At 36.0% G+C, this 19,905-nt stretch overlaps 1 protein-coding gene across 7 annotated transcripts in view, besides 1 other annotated feature; it reads left to right on the plus strand.

Annotated features, from left to right (window-relative positions):
* The window catches only part of MYO16 (myosin XVI), a 712,290-nt gene that overhangs the window by 480,981 nt on the left and 211,404 nt on the right, over window positions 1-19,905 (plus strand). For all 7 annotated transcript variants that reach the window (XM_011521062.2, XM_047430183.1, NM_015011.3 and 4 more), the window contains one exon: window positions 15,680-15,752. In XM_011521062.2, coding sequence (XP_011519364.1) covers window positions 15,680-15,752 — 73 coding nt within the window. The remainder of the gene's footprint in view (window positions 1-15,679; window positions 15,753-19,905) is intronic.
* Window positions 14,221-15,420: an enhancer, noted in NCBI's record as "BRD4-independent group 4 enhancer chr13:109643265-109644464 (GRCh37/hg19 assembly coordinates)". NCBI's record gives its function as "activates an origin of replication core promoter dependent on BRD2, P300/CBP, MED14 and CDK7 cofactors, and independent of BRD4, by STARR-seq in HCT116 cells {active_cell/tissue: HCT116}" and the evidence as "EXISTENCE:reporter gene assay evidence [ECO:0000049][PMID:35650434]".

Raw genomic sequence — 19,905 nt, forward strand, 5'->3', positions numbered from 1 at the left:
ATAATAACATTTCCTGTGCATTTGTGAGAAAATAAAAATACGCTTATCCCGACTTTTCTTTGTCCATTTCATGCATAAAAGCCTCTCTTTTTATATGCTATCTTTTTTGGGAAAAATTCAGTAGTCAAGAAGAGTACAAAAGGAATCCAGGCAAGCAACCCATTTACCTACTACCTTGAATTAATACTATTGACATTTTTCAACTTTTGCCTCAGGTTTTCGTTATCATAAAAGACGTAGATGATTACAACTAAAAGCCAAGATTCCTTTTGTTTTCCTGTAGAGATACATTTTTCCCCTTCCCTCCCCAGAGACAACAATATTATCGAATACATGTAATCTTCCACATTTTTTAATTTTCTCTAGCCACTGGTTTTTCATAACAAATATATAACATTGTGAATAACTAAGAATTACAGAAACGCTATCCTATGGTGTATTTTATTCTGTACATCCTTTGCTAAGTTCATATGGTTTTTGAAATTTAACTATATTGATACCTCAAGACCTAGTTTATTCTTTTTAACTGCTGCACTACTTGTGGATAAAGAAATCTCAGTATACTCACCTAGTTCACTATTGGTGGACACTGAAGTCTCTTTTCATTTTTTTTCTCAGTTACAAACAGCGCTGTATCCTCATACTTGTCTCTTGAGATATATGTTTAGAATTTTCCCGAGGTGTATATTTAGTGGCAGAATTGCAAGGAGAACGATTATTTGCATTTTCTTGATTGCAAGCGAAGTCGACGTCTTCTGGCAAGACAAGTTGTGCCCTGCATCCTGGCACATGCCCACGGATGTTCACTGGGCTTTATGCAATCATATACCATGCTCCAACTTCAGGCCTTATCATAGACATTCTGTTCCTACCGCAAGGTCATCTTATATTTTTTTAAAAAAAACCTTTAAATTTTCAGCACAGCAGGAAAATTATTGTGTATGTGAGGAGTTGATAGTTTAATTTTTAGTTGAATATTCGATGATCCCTTCCCTGTTTGTTAGCAATGTTTCTTTACCCCTCTCTAGATTTTTAATCTATTTTACTAAAACTGTATCAATGATATATTGCTTTAATTACTTCTCATAAGTTCTATTTTTCTTATGTGTTTTGGTTATTTTGGGGTCTTTATTTTCACATATTAATTTTATAATCAGTTTGACTCTATCCATAAAACAATTCTTCTGGGATGTTGACTACAAATTAATTTATAGATTAATATGGGAAAAATTATACCATTTAGGCTATTGATTTTTTTCTTCCGCAAATATATTTCAACATTTATTATTGTATTCCTTAAATAATATTTGATTTTTTTCTATCAATTTCATGCACACCTTTATTTTATTTCTTTTTCTATGAATCTTTTTTTTGTGTGGCTATAATGAGTTCTATTCTATTATACATTAATTTATTGGAATACTGAACCTTGAGTTTCTTATGTTGATCTCATATGTAGAAATCCTGCTGACTTTTCTTATTAGTTCTAATAAATTTCCTGTGAAATGGCTTACTACTTTCTTATGTAAATGATCGTAATTATCTTTTTGTCTTTATGTATCTTACTTCTTCTTATTTTATTGCATTGGCTAGCACTGCCAATACATGTGGGAAATTTGTGATGATAATGGATCTTATTGTTTAGTTTACAAAATAATGGCAACTAAATATTTGCCATTAAGTAATACATTTACTTAGCATTCCAGTAAATAACCTCTGCCTAGTGTTTTCAATCATGGATGGATACAAATATTTTCTAATGGTTTTCTTTCTTTATTAGGAAGATCATAGCAATTTCCTTCTTTCCTTTGCTCTTGTGAGACATTGCATTGATGTTTATTTTTTGATGTTGAATCATTCTTCATTTATACTGCAAACCCTGTTTGCTCATGATATACTAGATTCTGTTTTCTAGTCTTTATTTATGTTCGCATTTATTTTCATTAGTGAGATGAGATTCTTTTGTTTTTGTCTTATACAATCTGTTGCTATCAAATTTACATTAAAAGTAGGTTGGGTAGCTTTCTCTTTTCTTCCTCTGTTTTTTCTCTCCAAAACAGTTTGTACTAAATGAAGATCATATACTCCTTTAATGTCTGGTGAAATCGCCCTAAAATCTTCTGAGCATTTGAAAGGAGAGTTGGCTTTTGGATACTGATTATTTTAAAATGTATATTATAGATTCAGATTATTTTCTTTCTTTTTTGACTCACATATATTTTCTGGAATTTCATCCACTTTGATATTTTTAATTTATTCACCAGCTAAATCATAGCTAGCTTTGTTTAGTAATCTTTTAATCTCTATTTCAACTGTAGTTTGACATTTACATTCCTGATACTGTTTCTTTATGCATTGTCCCCAAGATCATTGATAATTATTGCTCAAGAATCTGCCTATGCAAATTATTTTCAAGAATCATATTTTCATTTAGTCACTTTCACATTTATATTATTTTAATTAATTTCTGAAGTTTCAAAAATATATTTTCTGTAGTTTTATTATATCCTTCTTTTTCCTTTCTTTGAATTTTGACTTTTTGGGTGATTTTTTTTTCCTGAATTCATGAGCTGAATATTTGTTTCATAGTTTCCAATGATGTTTTTTCCTGAGTCTATAAAGTATCATCTCCTAAATACCTCTTAGTATATTCCAGAAGTTTTATCTGTAGTGCTTCCTTTGTTGTTTAGTTCTAAATATTTTGTCTTTATGTTCTTTCAGAGATAAAATAACAAGCAGTTTGTCAGAAAAATAAATTTGACACACCATGTTTTTCCCTTCTTCATCCAAACTGGGGATTTTTTTACCATTAAATAATGAGATTTCTTTGATTCTTATGAATATAGTATGAGTGACTTCTATTTCTGTGTAGACTTATTTAAATCATGTTGCTTATTACCATGACAACCCAAACTACACAATTTAGCAAATATCGGAGACAAACCTGCTTTCTAAATAATCCCCCTTCTGCTCCATTTCCTTACCAAAATACCCATATGTATAATGATTTCCTCAAGAGCTAAAAACCTTTTCTCTGCAATTGTGCATTTGTTTTTTCATTACTTTGTGAGACCATTTTTATTTTCAAAAAGAAGAATATAGAGGAACAAAAAAGTATTGGGGTTTTACCAAAGTATCATACAGATTATAATACTTAAAAATAACTTTAAATTATCAGATAATAAATACAACATAATAGTTAAAATTTTGCCACTCATTATTTTTAAAAAAGTATGCTATAGACAAAATAGTGGTTAAATTTAAATATTAATCATGATATCTATGATAAATTGCTTCAACAATAGTGTAGCTTATTGACCCAATAAAGAACTATGTATTTTGCCTTAAGTACATGTTTTCAGGAGATGGAGAGGAAAATAGATTTATCAGATCTAGGAGAATATGTCATTTTTTATATTAAACATTAGTGTTTTCTTTCTGTTAATGACTAATATGTTATTACAAATATTGAGAGCCACATAGTTTTAATAATAAAATGTATACGAAATGCAATGATTTAAAAGGCCAAAAAATCCATTTAGCATTTTGTTTTGCTAGCTCTTTCTTGAGCCAAGAGTGCAGAGGCTAAAGCTTGTATATTTTATATAAAGGAAAAAATTCATTGCACTGTTAGCTATTCCTGCTCTTGTTTCATTTCTAACTGGGGAAATGCATTTGGCCTCTTTTCAACCCCTGTTAACTGTCCTGCTCAATAGAGTTAGCCGAATCTTTGTTTATTATGCTCTCTGTGCCTGTCATTTGAGCATAGTGGCAGTTCTGCCAGAATAAATAACACTGCAGTGCCGTACAGAAAGGAGAGCAGAATGTCCCTTTTTGGCTCTCCATGACCCTGTCTGTCCCCGAAAAAAACACCAGGAAGGAAATGTCAGTACCACTAGTTAAATATCGTTTGCCTTTTTCGAATGTAATTTTCTAATTGAGGAGGATGTGCTTTGCAACAAAGGACATTTTCAGTTTTTGTCAGCCTCAAACTTTGAACTATTCTCTCTTCACATACTGTCTAGTGGAAAATACATTTTCCAAGCCTGGCATCTTTATGTGTGGAGGTGTGAGAAGTTGTGAAGCTACGATTATTGTGGTTATTATTTTTTGAATATTACCTGTAAATGAGATAGTCTTGGAGCTGCTGATTATTACAGTTTACATTGACATTAGCTATGAGGTTGGCATTCTTGTCTCCCTTTTACAGATAAAGAAAATGGAACTCAGAGAGATTAAGTACATGGCCCAAATCACACAGCCAGAAAATGATGGGCTAGGGATATGAACCCCAGTATGCCAGACTTAAAAGCCTGAGTTTTTGCAAAAATGCCTCCCATGTTGATGACCATCAAAATAGTGATAAAAAAGATTAGTTTTAAAGCTCAAATGTTTTCTAAATAACCCTTTAAAATATAGGTAATTTCTTTATTTCAAATGAAATTGTTTTGAAAGTTAAATTTATGTGAATATGGACATGCCCCGCAGGCGAGGTTATCCTGTATTCCTTTCTCTCTGGATCTCCAGCATGCAGCACAGTGCTTTCCCAATCAAGGTGCTCAATATGCATTTATTGAAATGATAAATGAACTCATACAATAGTTAAATAAAGCCTAGCTTAAATGCCATCATCAAGAGAAGTGTCATGTGGTAAACTGCAAAAAAGTGATCCCAATTTTTATTAGTCTGTGCATCCATGCCATGTACAATATAAGTTTGATGCTTCTCTTATAAGAGGTTAATTCTTTTTCCTTTCCCTTTGAATTCGAGCTGGCCTTGTGACTTGCTTTAGCCAACAGAATACAACTGCAATGATGGTGTGCCAATTCCGAAGCCTTGCCTGATTCTGCTTCCTCTGACCCCTGTCACTGCCATGTGAATAAGGCCAGGCTGGCCTGCTGGAAGATGAGACAGACACTCGTGTTGCTCCAGCCTTCAGCTGGCCAATTGCGGGGCCGCTGGGTTAGGTCATCCTGAACCTGCTAATGTCTGCCAGGCGGCCCAAGGTGACACACACGATTATGAACAATAATAACTACTTACTGTTTTAAGTCACTGAGTTTTGTGGTGCTTGGTTATCTAGAAACATTGACTTGCTACAAGTCTCTAATTCAATGTTCATAGCTGTTACTTGGAACCACACATTTTTTGTATGTACATTTGAAGGTCATTATTGAAAAGACAGCTCTCCATTTTATGAGTGATTTGGGAGATTCTGAGATTATCTGCCTTCCCAGTGTTTTCAGACTCTTTGGTCTGTCATCTTCTGGGCCATTAAAATCCCAAACCTTCAGGTAATGAAGACTGTTGGTTTTTAGTACTTGTACTAGATTGCAGAAAGATCCAGAAGTGCTTTGTAAAATACTTAGTAGCCAGAAGCCCCTGGAGGAAATGAAATAAGGAGATGGAGATAGAAGGATACAAAGTAGCAAATATGTATGATGAACAAGTGAAAGGACTAATATAGGACATGAGGACTATGGTTAATACCAGCGTGTTGTATTCAGGAATTTTGCTCAATGAGTAGATTATACCTGCTCTTGCCATGAGGCAGGGGCGTGGCTAACTATGTGTGGTGATGGACATGTTAATTACTTTCACTCTAATAACCATTTACTATATATGTGTATCTCATAGCATCATATTATCTACTTTAACATACACTTTATTTTTACTTTAACATACAACTTATTTTTTAAAAAACCCAAATAAAAAATAAAAAAGGAGCGTTTGGGCTGGAAGATAATTAAGGGAGAAAAGGAACTGTACTAATAAAAGCATAATAAGTTAAAAAAAAGTAAACAGCACTTTTACTGTAGCCCTTAGCTACTGGGTTGAAATGGCATGCAGCTTTCAAATTTTGTCTACATGCATATACAGTAATTTTATCTTTTAATTGGGTTTTAATTTTTTAAAGGGTAATAGGAAGCAAAAGATCTGGATTCCTATTCTGAGCCTACTACTTAACATTAATGAAATCTTTAGTTAAACATTTATGTCTTGTGAATCTTAATTTTCTTCATCCCTAAAATTGTGATAATCATATCCCATCTGCCTACAGATGGAGGTTTAGCCTACATATCTCTTTGGCTTGTTTTTGATCTTAAGACCTATGAGTCTATAATTCCTAGTTAGGATAAGTTTGAAATTGTCAGTAACACTCAAATATCCTATGCTCTTAAAATACATTTTGGATACATCAGACCAATCCATACATTATAGCACTCCAAGACACCGTCAGTTTTCTGATTGGGATGGCTAAAATTGGAATGATTTAGTGCCACACTTTCTTTCATTTTTAATTAAGAAAAAAAAACCTTTTCAATTGATATCCGTCTCCCGACTGCCAGTAATATTTGAACATTTTATTGATAATATGTGTGAGCTCTAAGGCCAAAGACTAAATCAAAACAAGAAAGGTAGATTGTAATTCTCTAATTGGTTTGAAGTACAAAATAAATATACCATGCAAAGTAAAATCAAAATTATATTTCTGGAAACAAATACCATCTGTACCATTGATTTCATCTCTCCATTCTCCTCTTTCTCTCTCCTGTCTTCCTCCTTCTCTCTTACCAATGCATTTCTCCATCTGAATCTCACGTGAGAACCGTGGGAGGAAGAAAGTGATCAGCCCCAGGACAGTGTTTCCCAGAGAACATTCTGTGGGATATTCATCCAAGATTTCCGTGAAACAAATTTTAAAATTCAAGAAAGGGAGTGCCTGTTGTCCAAAAAAGAGTTGCACATTCTCTTGAAACAGCACAAAGTCCAATGGACTGAAAAGCTTTGAACGTAAGATAAAGAGTAGCCAGGTTTGGTTGGCCATAGAACTGAGGACACACTTGAAAAACTCTTCAATAGCCTATTTAAAAATATTTAGGAACATTGGAGCCCAAAATGCTATGTGCCTTCGGAGACTGCTGCTTTCTGTGAGCGGAAGCAGGCAAGCAATTCAATGTTAATAAAAGTGAAGATGACCTCTCCCAGCTTGTTGCTCTCCAAATAGACTAAACGCTGCCTGAGGAATAGGTTCCATGCCTTCCATTCTTAATTGTTAAGACTGAAGGGCATGGTGAGGCTTTACAGGACTTTCTAATTGACAGGTTGAAATTGTGAGGAAGTGCCCACAGTCTTCTCCTTCCATTTGCAAAACAGTTATGTTGAGTCCTCCCTCACCTCTCATTAGTAAAAGTTGACCCAACTACCTATAGCACTCCTACTATACTGATCTAACATCAGGAAAAGGCAAAATAGAATTTATCAGCCTGGAAAGGTTTTCATCCCTGAGAAGAACTAGTTATTCTGTGAATGCTTCTAAAATATTCACAGAGCTCAATAAGCCACCCTTAAGGCTCAGCCAGCAGCTGTACAAAGTCTTCACTCTGCTCTATCACAAAACTTTCTTTCTGCAAATGGATTCTCACTACTTTCTGCCATAATGAATGACCTCTGAATTGGCCTTCCTCAACCCAAATTATGCTAAAAATGCATCCAATTCCATGGGTCCTGAGGTCTTAGGAGAACTGGTAGGACCACTATTAATGGGTGAATTTTGAAGCCTGCAAATCAGAAGATCACTCTTAGAAATCCTCATACCCATGACCTGGATTAGCTTGCCTCTCCCAGTGCATCGACCTTAACAAGCCCAAGTCCCAGAGAAGCACTAGAACTCCATGGAGAGCCTGGATTCCTGCCTTTCCTGCAGTCACCATCCGCATACATTTGCCGTGGCTTTCTCTTGCAGGGTAGCATGTGCCTGCTAGAACTTGTTCATTCATTCACACAAGGGATTCAGACATAGGGAAAACTCTCTTTTCAGTGGTTGGTAATCATACCTTTTCTTTGACAATCACAGAAATCTTCCACCCCACCTATCCAGATTAGTCCTGCTGGGGTCCCAACTTTGTCTCTGTCATCCTGAATTGCTGGCCTCTAAACCAGACCCATGTACTTGGGTTTCGTGCTTTTTGAGTTTCCTTACAATTTTCCTGAGCACTCCTTGACAGACCTTGGTCATATCCTCTGACTCACCATCTTCTCTGTGACCCTCAGGTTTGTCAAAAACCAACACATAAACTTCAAATACACCTCACGGCTCAGTCTCCTTTCAAGCCTATCCTTATGTTAATGTGCGTGGATCCTTTTGTGGCATGAGATCTCTTAAAGATCACTGGGCTAACTTGATTCCGAGTCCTGAATCCTGATGCTGAACCTTGTCCCACAGTCATCTACAAACTGACACAGACAGACAGTAAGGAAAGAAGTCTCTTATTGATATAATACTGACATTAATATTTCCTTGAAAAGACAAATAAGCTGCAGATTTCCTGCATCTTCATATAAGTTTTCATTTTGACTTCACCTTTCTACCAAAAGTTGTTCAAATACAATGATACAGACTCATTTTTTTAAAAGAATGTAGATATAACCACTCTGTGTTATTGTATGGGATGCAGAATAATAGAGTTGGTCACTGACTTTGAGATAGCAAGTACAAACCACACGTAGTGGACAGCTGAGTTGACTTCACGTGCTGCTGTTGTTTGGGTTTTTTAAAGCTTTTATTCATGCTGTGTTTCTTTAATTGACGTGCATGGTCAGGAAATCCATCCCTCCTTGACAACATACATCAGCAGCAAGCAGCCTCCCTCTAGTTTGTCTCGCTGACTCACATCCACATAATTGGTTGAACACAAGGAAGTATTTATCGTTTTTGTGGGAAGGAGTAAAGTCATTATACTGAAGATACCCCCAAGAAGTGGACCTCCGCTTTGACAGCGTAGCATGTAGCTGACGTGTCAGCAGACGTGGGAGGAGACCAGATATAACTCTTAACGATCAGTGAAAACACTAGTGGGAAAAATACGGCGGTCAGTGTATTTAACTTCATGAAGAATGTATTTTCAGTTCTTCCTGAAGTTCTGGGCCACTCAAACATCTTGCTGGTAATTTGCTTCCTTGCTGATATCTTTCTACTGATAGATGATGCTTGAGCTTCTTGTAGTAGCCAGAGCCAACCGTAATAATTTCACTATTCTAACATCGTGTTTGATTTGGCATTGCCAAAATGAATCTGCATTTAAGTGCTTCTCATTTAACAAATATTTATCTAATAATCTATCACAGTGCATAGTTGTGATCCAAGTGAGCATACATTTTGTTTGTTTGTTTTCTACTGTTTTATTGACGTATGTATTAGTCTGTTTTCACGCTGCTGATAAAGACATACCCGAGACTGGGTAATTTATTAAGAAAAAGAGGTTTAATGGACTCACAGTTCCACATGGCTAGGGAGGCCTCACAATCATGGCAGAAGGCGAAGGAGGAGCAGAGGCACATCTTACATGGCAGCAGGCAAGAGAGCGTGTGCAAAAGGAACCACCTTTTATAAAACCATCAGATCTCGTGAGACTTATTCACTATCATGAGATTATCGTGAGAAAAATCTGTCCCCATGATTCGATTACCTCCCAAGGGGTCCTTCCCATGACACATGGGGATTATGGGAGCTACAGTTCAAGATGAGATTTGGGTGGGAACACAGCCAAACCATATCAAGGTAGAACATAGCTACAGTGCACGTTATGTGTAAAGTTCAGTATATTTTTATACATGTAATCTCCATAAAGACTAAGATGTAGTCTGGGCATGGTGGCTCATGGCTGTAATCCCAGCACTTAAGGGAGGCTGAGGTGGATGGATCACCTGAGGTCAGGAGTTTGAGACCAGCCTGGCCAACATGGAGAAACTCTGTCTCTACTAAAAAAACAAAATTAGCTGTGTGTGGTGGCACATGCTTTTAATCCCAGCTACTCAGGAGGCTGAGGCAGGAAAATCACTTGAACCCGGGAGGCGGAGGTTGTGGTGAGCCGAGATGGTGCTATTGCACTCCAGCCTGGGCAACAAGAGCGAAACTCCGTCTCAAAAAAAAAAAAAAAAAAAAAAAAGATAGTATTCAGGCTTTTAAAGTCTGAGTGTGGCTTTCACTAATATGAAGGATATAATTGATCTGTTATTATGTATACTCTTCTCACTACTACAGTTATTGATGAACTGCTCACTTTCTTATCTCAAATGCAGACAGTGCCCTTTTTGGTTTCTGAGGAGAACAGAATTAGACTCGGGTGTAAGACCACCAATTGGAAATAGTTTTCTGCAGAGCTTCATAGAACTTACAGACACAGGCCCTACAGCTAGATGGCCAAGTTCAAATGCTTGGTCTATCTAATACTCATCTGTGTTTGGGGGCAGCTTACTTCACCATTCTGTATCTCAGTATTCCCTAGGATTAAATGAGGAGAGGCATTTTTAAATGCTCCTAACAGTGCTTTGTGCACGGGACTCCAGTGTTGACCTACATCCTGGATTTTCTCTAAGTCTAATTAACTGCAATGTTCCTCGCAAGGGGTCCGCAGTTCTGTACTTCCTAACATATATTTCTGTGGGGAAAGGTGCAGGGAATGACTGCATCTAGGAAGATGCTAGTTTGTACAATACCATATAGAATAGAGAAGGCCGGACGGCCTCTCTGGTTACTCCCAGCCTCTAGTGCAACTGTCAGAATTGCAAAGGCTTTCCATAATTTCTGGCATGGTTGCAGAAAGTGAGAAGTCTCAAGTACTTTCTTCAAAGAATAAAAGAGAGGAACCCCCAAAAGTATGCAATCCTAGAGTCCCACTTCTTCCCCCCAAGTTTCTCTCATAGACTAAAAAACACCCTGAGAGGTTGAAATAAGGTAAGATTTAAGCAGGGTTCACCTCCACAGCGAGGCATCAGGCCAATTAAGGAAAGCAAAACTTTTTGTAAATGAATAAATCAGCATATTGACAGGGCAGTTGGTGAATGCCATAGCATAGCTCGGCATCTCCAGGGACTTTCTGGCACTAGCCTCTATGTACGTGCAGCTGATCCCAAGGGCAGTAAGTCTGGACAAGATTGCTCACGTCTGGAATGTGTTTATATTTAATTCTTGCCCCATCTGGGGTCCTACTGGTCTAACTCAGTCTAAGGGTTTTTGTGCCAAGCAGGGTTAAGCTACTTCCTAAACTGACTACTTGGAGAACTCTCTAGGGAATCTCCTTGCCTGAGGATAATTGAGGACAAAAGCTGCCTTGTACACACCATCAGATTGTTCTGCTCAGATGAAGTGAGTTTACCCGTGTTCTAAGATAGGCATTCTCTTTAATTCAGTCCTTTCTCCACTCTATATCTATCTACATAAAAGGTAAAATGAAAACCAGACTGATGTCTTGGCGTTTAATATTTTGTCTGATGTAAAGGGTGTTGCATTTTACTAATATGTCAATGCAAGCTGACAGTTTTGTTAACTATCAAGAAAGCTCTCGGGAGAATTCTAAGGCAGAATTTGAACTGAAACAGATCATCTAATTCATATGTTAATTTTGCCTATAGGATTGAGTCTTGGCTGGATCACATGACCTCTCTGCTCCCAGTTGTCAGAAATTGAATGTTAAGTTAAATGCCTGTGGAATAGGAGTCAGATATCAATAAGGGGAATGACAGTCAGGTCAACTGCTACGTAGTATGGGCGTTTTGCTGGCTGAAAGTTTTTATTACTATCCTGCCAATGTTGCTATTGCAGTAACAGACGCATATTTCAGTCATAAATGATGAAATAAATTATTTTAAATGATCATGTTATGCCTGTCAGTAATTGCAAAAGTCGTCCTTAAAATGCTTTAAACTTGCATTTAGTTTTTCTCCTGACAATGGAATTTTCTTTTTTTTTTAAAACCAAATATGTTTGGATTCAGTATCTATAAAATGTGAAAAAAAGCATTTAGGAGGAATACCCTTCCAATCAAATGTATGCCACTCTAAATTACCAATTAATAATTCACTTTCCCCAATGTGAACCCATCCTTTAATGATTTTGCCCACCCACACATGCCACAGTGGCCAAATAATCTCTTCTCTGTGTGTTGATGCAATTTGCCATCCTTGTAAGGGAGGGAGGTAGGTATGAAGTGACATGGTGTCACTGATCTCTGCTGCTCTTTTCCCTAAATTCTATCAAAACAATATGCCATGATTATAGGGTCTCTTCTGCCAAGGTCAACTGGGAAGCAAGGAGGGTAATCGGACCTGAGAGCCTGACATAGGGACCCTGATGTCAGTGGATAGAGAGGCATCTGTGCTCGGGACCAGCACCCGGCCTTCAGGGGAGAGACCCAGTGCTTTTTCTCCTTATTCCTGAAGTTGTCCCTGCATCGGCAGCATCTCTTACCACTGGCAAAACCAGACACTTTTCTCCTACCACGATGGGGCTCTAGTATCCCCTCTCTGCCCTTAAGGTTATTGGTGTCAATTTTCTCTACAAAATTAGAAAATGCCCAAATATATTTTTTAAATGAGGTTAAAGATAAATATTCTTATAATACTAGTATAGAACATTTAAGAAATTAAGAAATCACCTCCAGGTCTACCATCTTATTACAGGTACTGTTAACATAGATTTTATTTTTCCTGTGGCTTAGGTTTATTTGACATAGTTCAAATTATACTTTAAGAATACTAAAGGTATACATTTTGTTTCTGGCTTTTGTTTTGGGATTAATGTTGTTCATGAACATTTCCTATGTTTTCATATTACCTTTATATACACATCAATGAAATATTTGCTGGTTATAAAAATATATGTTTCAATATAGAAACCTTAGAAAGTGGGGAATAGTTAAAAGAAGTAAACAAAGCAATATCTCCATTTCCTCTTTCAAGGCTCACTCTATTTCTTTCCAGGCCTTCTGGATATATAATTGGGGTTATTCTTTATACAGAATTTATATATTGCTTTCTTAATTTATCATAGGGTTCATGCTATTTAATTAATTGTGTTTTTAGTGTGGGATATAAATAAATGTTTCTTTTTGTAGTTATAGTAATTAAGATAACAATGAACATCCTTGTTGATAAGTCTTTAAAAGCATTTCTCATAGTCTTCTTGGAATAGGTTCCTATATATGGAAGTACTGGTTCAAATGATATGAATATTGCAAAGCTTTATAACTAAATTGTTTTTGAGGAAGGCTCTACCGATTTAAACTGTCAGAAAAAGTATATAGGAAAATATCTTTCTCATTCTAATTTTTTTCAGATTGTATTTCTTTGTAATTTTAATAAGATTGATACTTTTAAAAAACTTATTTTTTAAAAAAGAGGCAACTTTTTGGAAACACTATATAACAGCTATTTGTTTTAGAACTTTGCATCACCTCTAATTCTAGCAATGATCTAGCTGGACAAATTTTACTTGGTCTCCTATTTGTATACATGATGAAACTCCAGTTCAAAATATTTAAGTAACTTGTCTAAAGTTAACCAACCCAAAAGTATTTAAACCTACCCCAAGACTGAACATCTCCAAAGTCTGACAAACTTTATCACCAAACTGCTTTAAGAAAAATGATGCAGCTCATCACACAGACAATACACACACACACACACACACACACACACACACACACGACCAAAACAAACAAAAAATCACGCTAAGCCTCAGCATCATTGTTAGCACTGAATGAACATCATTCCAGACATCTCTTTGTGCATATCATAAGGAGGGCAGGATGGAGAGGAGGATGCATGGATGCTGGATGGTGAACAGAAAACTGGAGAGACATATCAGCAGATTGAAAAATAGTGATCAAAACGAATGACACAATACATTTTTACATAACACTTACCTATAACAGAAACAGTTTTATTTATATTACTTATCCTGCAAAGGAGTTTAATAGTTGAAAAAGTGTTCAATAGTTTAAAACACTTATTTTGAGGTTTCCCAAAACTGAAATCAGAAAAAAAAATTGCATTTGTTTTCTTATACCATTTTAATTTCTTGTTCTAACATTTAATCCATGTAGAGTTTATTTGTACACACTATGAGTTATAAAGCTATTTTTATTCTTTCTTCTTATAAACTAAGTCAATTAGGAAAATATATTGAATGATTTCTTTTTTTCTCTCACTGTATTATATTCTTTACCGTGAAATTTGTACGAAGGCTTTTAAAAAATTCTCTCCCTCCTACTTATGAAGCTTATATTCTACCATATATAACAAAAAATATTACAGACAGGATATTACAGAATTATGACTACATTTTTAGAGAAAAAATGGTCATTGAAGTGATGTATTATAGACCCTCATGGATTATAATTATGTACTGTACGTGAAAAACAAAATACAGTGCAAAGACTGAGGTGGTTGCCAGTTTTGTTCTGCCGTTTGGAAAAAGCAAGGAAATAACAATTTAACGACCAATCAAATAATGGATATTGATCCTATAAGAACTATAATAATAACAGAACAGTGTACCCATAGCGTACCCATTGGCAGAAAATTACGACAGCAGTTGTCCCATTCATACTATACGTCAATGATGTGGAAGAGGTGGGGTACGTGCCCCTCCCAGAAATTCCAGAATTATCTCTGGGCTTCCTTGCAAGAAGCAAGTTCATGCCGACGTCCCCATGCTACCCTTCCCTGCCTTCCATGTAACCCTCTTCACCTGATCACCATTGCTAGAGTGGCTGTCATTGACTTGGGCCTGTCTTACATCTTTCCTTGCTTACCAAGTGGGCTCAGACATTTGAGATTTTTATCATCTGTAACTGTAGTAAATTCTATTTCCAAGAGTGATAGTTCACATTGAAAAAAAAGATTGATTTCTTTAAATTATCCTTCAAAAGTTCTGCTTTTTTCATTCTTCTTTTAAAAGAATTACTTCTGGAAGAACTTTTAAAGTGACTAAATTTGATCCATCAAAGAACATGCATGTGACTTAATTGTGTTTTACCTTACATCGCACTTGGGTGTGACGAGAAAGTTCTGACTCACTGCTTGCATAGCATGAGAAGACACAAGTATAGCTAGTGAGGACCACCTGACTCACTGCTCGCATAGCATGAGAAGACACAAGTATAGCTAGTGAGGACCACCTGACTCACTGCTTGCATAGCATGAGAAGACACAAGTATAGCTAGTGAGGACCACCTGACTCACTGCTTGCATAGCATGAGAAGACACAAGTATAGCTAGTGAGGACCACTTGACATGTAGGCTCAGTTCCTTAAGGGAAAAGAAGTCCAACCTAAGGAGATAGCCACGAGAACTATTTCAGAGAAGCAAATATTAAATCACCCACATAGTGTTACATTTTTAATTTAAAATCAATTTGGTTTTTGGTTTTTTTGGCCTCAAATTCTTGTTTTTTAAAATTTTTAAGTTTAAGGGTGCATGTACAGGTTTGTTACATAGGTAAACTTGCATCATGGGAGTTTGTTGTACAGATTATTAAAAGACACTATCAACAGAGTAAATAGACAACCTACTGAATGGGAGAAAATTTTTGCAAACTATGCATTGGACAAAGGTCTAATATCCAGCATCTATAAGGAACTTAAAACAGATTTACAAGACGATGTGTTTTTATAAATGTGCATGTGTTTGAATCAAAGCATTAAAATAACAGTTTTGGGGGGGCTAACTTTCAGAGTTTTTTTTAATGAGACTCTAAAATAATTATTTCACATTTTTAGTCCAAATTGGCAGCAATGTGCTAAGTGGCTGGATTCTTCTGACCTGAATAATGAAAAGAGGGTCATGAAGGAGTTTTAAGGATGCCCATTTATCCTGGTGTATTGTTTTGTTTCAGCATGCAGACATTGGATATTGGAATATTGGACATTTTTGGTTTTGAAGAGTTTCAAAAGAATGAATTTGAACAAGTAAGTAGTCTTTCTTTTAAAATTGTGTGAACTTGAATGGCTTTTGAAACTAAGTTCTTTTTTTAATTCTGTAAAGACAGTGTAACTACTTACAAATATGGAATTAAAATAAGTACTCTAATGTTTTAAAATTAATATCTCTGGTTTATCAATATATTAACCATTTTATGTGGTCTTGTAAACAACTGGCATAGTCACACATTGAAAGCAGAATCACTTGTTTTAAAAGACAATGCAAGATGAAGACCAGAGTTGTGCTAATGGAAATGCTATTTCAACTAGGTCAGAGAGAAGGGAGAACATGAATATTTGAAATAAGGCAAAGGCTTTCAAAAACCTTGGCTAAACATCAGAATGAAAATGCTCTGTTATGCTACATGCTGTTATTTGTAGATTCATCTCCATATGACATTCATACATAGGACTATTGGAAAATCATAAAAATACATTAGAGAGGCATGGGTTGTTTTTAATCCATCTATAATTTGGGGCATTTTAAAAGTATTAAATTATGTAGTCATCTTAATAGCACTGCATGAATAGTTTTATTAAGTATACCTAAAAACTAAGTGTTAATAAAGACAGTAGAAATACAACTCTCCTTATCAAACAGAGGAGAAAAGTCAACCTGTAGGAAGGTAAACATGAAAAAATAGAAAACCAAGCTACATTATAGTACGGGAAGAATTACAACTCCATAGCATTTGGGAGGAATTTTCATAGTTACGTAATTTGTTTAGCTTTATTTTCTTAAGGTGGTGTGGTAGGATAAACAATTAAATAGAATGTGTTTGAGATGCAAGTCTGTGACTTTTAGTAGCGTCGATTTCTTGGCCAAGATGAAGACTCTATAGTGAACTTTGGTTTTCTTGTTTGTAAAATCAGGTTAATAGACTTACAGAGTTCTGAGATTAAACATAATTAAACAGGTTCTCGTGTCAGTTACTCTCATACTGTATATGATTAAGAAATGATGGATACCTACCCGTTACTGTTGCAAATGGGAGCACTTTAATAACTTAAAAATTGGCCAATTTTATTTTTAGAAAAGCTCTGCATCATCCTGTGTTTAGATGTTAATTACGCTGACTTACCTAATCCAGGGTGAGTCAGCACGAACCACGTTCCTTACAAAACTTCACAAAATGTCTAGTTTGAACTAGAACTATAGAGGCAATAGATCTCTTCTCCTTTCATAGTTTTCTGTGGATTAATAGAAAAGGAGATACTTCATGTGTTTATTTTTATTGCTTACTGTGAGAAAAGTAATGATGAACATAAGGAAGAAAGCAGTTGAGTGTGACCAATAGAATATATGACAATATATGTGGGTCTGCAGGGTGCTTAAGAAGGTGCATCTCTCAGCTCAAGGGTTTGAAGCTGTCTGGCATCAGTAGAGATTCCTTATGTTATTATCTTAGAAAACAGGCAAGCTTTCATGTCTGCAATGAGAGTCACTGGTTTATCCATCTCCTGGTAAGCGACATGTAGAAATTACAGATGGAATGATGTCCTCTAAAGTCTGCTAGGGGACTTGCCTCACAAGCTGCAACTCCACACCCAGACATAATTGTCAATAGAGTGTCCTAATGATGAATACGTGCAAAACTTTTAAGTTATTTTCTTACTGAAACATATTTATTTTACTACAATTATATAAATCCCTTATTAGTCCTTCTTTTGCTAAATATTTTTATGATTTATTTTGGAATACATTTACAGCCTGAGATTTCTGTATAATAGTAATGGCATTTTTTTCACATCTAAAGAGCCAGTCTCTATTAAATGCCAAAAGCTAGCTTTAGGCATTTATGGGTAAAAATCTCAAGAACAATTCTGGGACTTAAATTTTGAAAAAAATTTGAAATACACACACACACACACACATATATATATATAATTTTTAACAGGTTTGCTTTGCTATTGTGTACAAAAGCAACTAGGAGTCATTTAGAAGAATAAAATTATTTCCATTGTGATGAGTGCAAATCTCATCTTATGATAAGTACAAATCTCATCTTTTGACGAGTGCAAATTTGCATGTAATTTTTTTTAAGACCATTGGTTTGAGCGATACATTTTAGATTTCTGTGTTGCTAACAGAAGCTGGACTTTTTGTCTTTTATTCCACTACAAACTTGCAACAAAATGCTTAACAAATCAATGCTGTATTCAGAATCAAACCTAGAAGAATATTAGTGCTTTTATAATATGTTTTTTATTCTGTTTTGCGCTTATTGACCCATCCATCAGTTCTTCACTCGAACGTCAACTCCTGCAGAGTTGAAATTGTGTCTGTGCTTTGTATATAATAAAAGTTCAACGAACATGTTTTCAATTGAAGTTTAAAGAAGAATAAACTCCTAAGAAAAAAGTCTTCATAGTGGATTTCATAGTGGTTCTTCTTGTTCAGGAATAAATGACAATTGTTCCTCCACAGGAAGCTTGACAATTGTTTAGAGTAGGGACACATTTGAGGAGATGTTAAGAAACACTCCAAAACTTCAGCATCTCCAACCTCAGTCTCCTCCAGTAGCTCCAAAAGATTAAATGGATTCTCATCTAAAAGATGAGATACTACAGCTAATAGGAAATTCTGATCGCATTTTCTCTGACTTTATCTTAGTCAGTTCAGGCAGCTAGAACAAAATACCTTAGAGGAGGTAATTGACAAACAGCAGAAATTTATCGCTCACAGTTCTGGAGGCCAGGAAATGTAAGATCAAGATGGCAGTGGACTTGGTGTCTGGTGAGGGCTCTCTGCTTCATAGATGCTGCCTTCTTGCCACATCCACTCATGAGGGAGGATCAAGGCAGCTCTCTGGGGCTTCCTTTATTAAGGGCACTAATCTCACTCGGGATGGTGGCGCCATTATGACCTAAATCGCCTCCCAAAGGCCCCACCTTCTAATCCCATCACTTTGGCAAATTGTGGAGGAACACATTCAGACCATAGCAGAATTAACGAATCATTTCTATTCAAAAGTATTTCTTTTTTTTATTATTATACTTTAAGTTTTAGGGTACATGTGCACAACATGCAGGTTAGTTACATAGGTATACATGTGCCATGTTGGTGTGCTGCCCCCATCAACTCGTCATTTAACATTAGGTATATCTCCAAATGCTATCCCTCCCCCCTCTCCCCACTCCACAACAGGCCCTGGTGTGTGATGTTCCCCTTCCTGTGCCCATGTGTTCTCATTGTTCAATTCCCACCTATGAGTGAGAACATGCGGTGTTTCGTTTTTTGTCCTTGCGATGGTTTGCTGAGAATGATGGTTTCCAGCTTCATCCATGTCCCTACAAAGGACATGAACTCATCATTTTTTATGGCTGCATAGTATTCCATGGTGTATATGTACCACATTTTCTTAATCCAGTCTATCATTGATGGACATTTGGGTTTGTTCCAAGTCTTTGCTATTGTGAATAGTGCATCTCACACCAGTTAGAATGGCGATCATTAAAAATCAGGAAGCAACAGGTGCTGGAGAGGATGTGGAGAAATAGGAACACTTTTACACTGTTGGTGGGACTGTAAACTAGTTCAACCATTGTGGAAGTCAGTGTGGCGATTCCTCAGGGATCTTGAACTAGAAATACAGTTTGACCCAGCCATCCCATTACTGGGTATATACCCAAAGGATTATAAATCATGCTGCTATAAAGACACATGCACATGTATGTTTATTGCGGCACTATTCACAATAGCAAAATTATTTCTTATAATAAGTACAATACTAGTGTAAAAAATATAGTTCACATAGCTCAGCAGTAATTTGGTACTTCCAGTGGTACTTTTCAGTGTGTGGAAAACTGTACAGGACAAACAACTGACTTCTTCAACATATAAAATGCAGAGAAAAATTGTGAAAGGAGGGCACCTGTAGATTAAAACCTATCTAAAGACATGTACAACAGCTGAATGTGTGGGCATTCTTGGGCCCTAATGTGCTAAATTATGTATAAAAGCTATAATTAAAGTAATGTGCAATCTGGACAGTTGATGAAATTTTTAAAAATTATTATTTATTGGATTATGTGTGATAAAGATACTAAAAAATGTGTTTCTCTAAGTTCTTGTATCTCAGAGAATTATACTAAAGTAGTTACCTGTTTAAGGACATACCATCTGCAAATTGCTTCAAAT

Source organism: Homo sapiens, chromosome 13 (assembly GCF_000001405.40).
Source record: "Homo sapiens chromosome 13, GRCh38.p14 Primary Assembly".
Classification (NCBI taxonomy): Eukaryota; Metazoa; Chordata; class Mammalia; order Primates; family Hominidae; genus Homo; species Homo sapiens.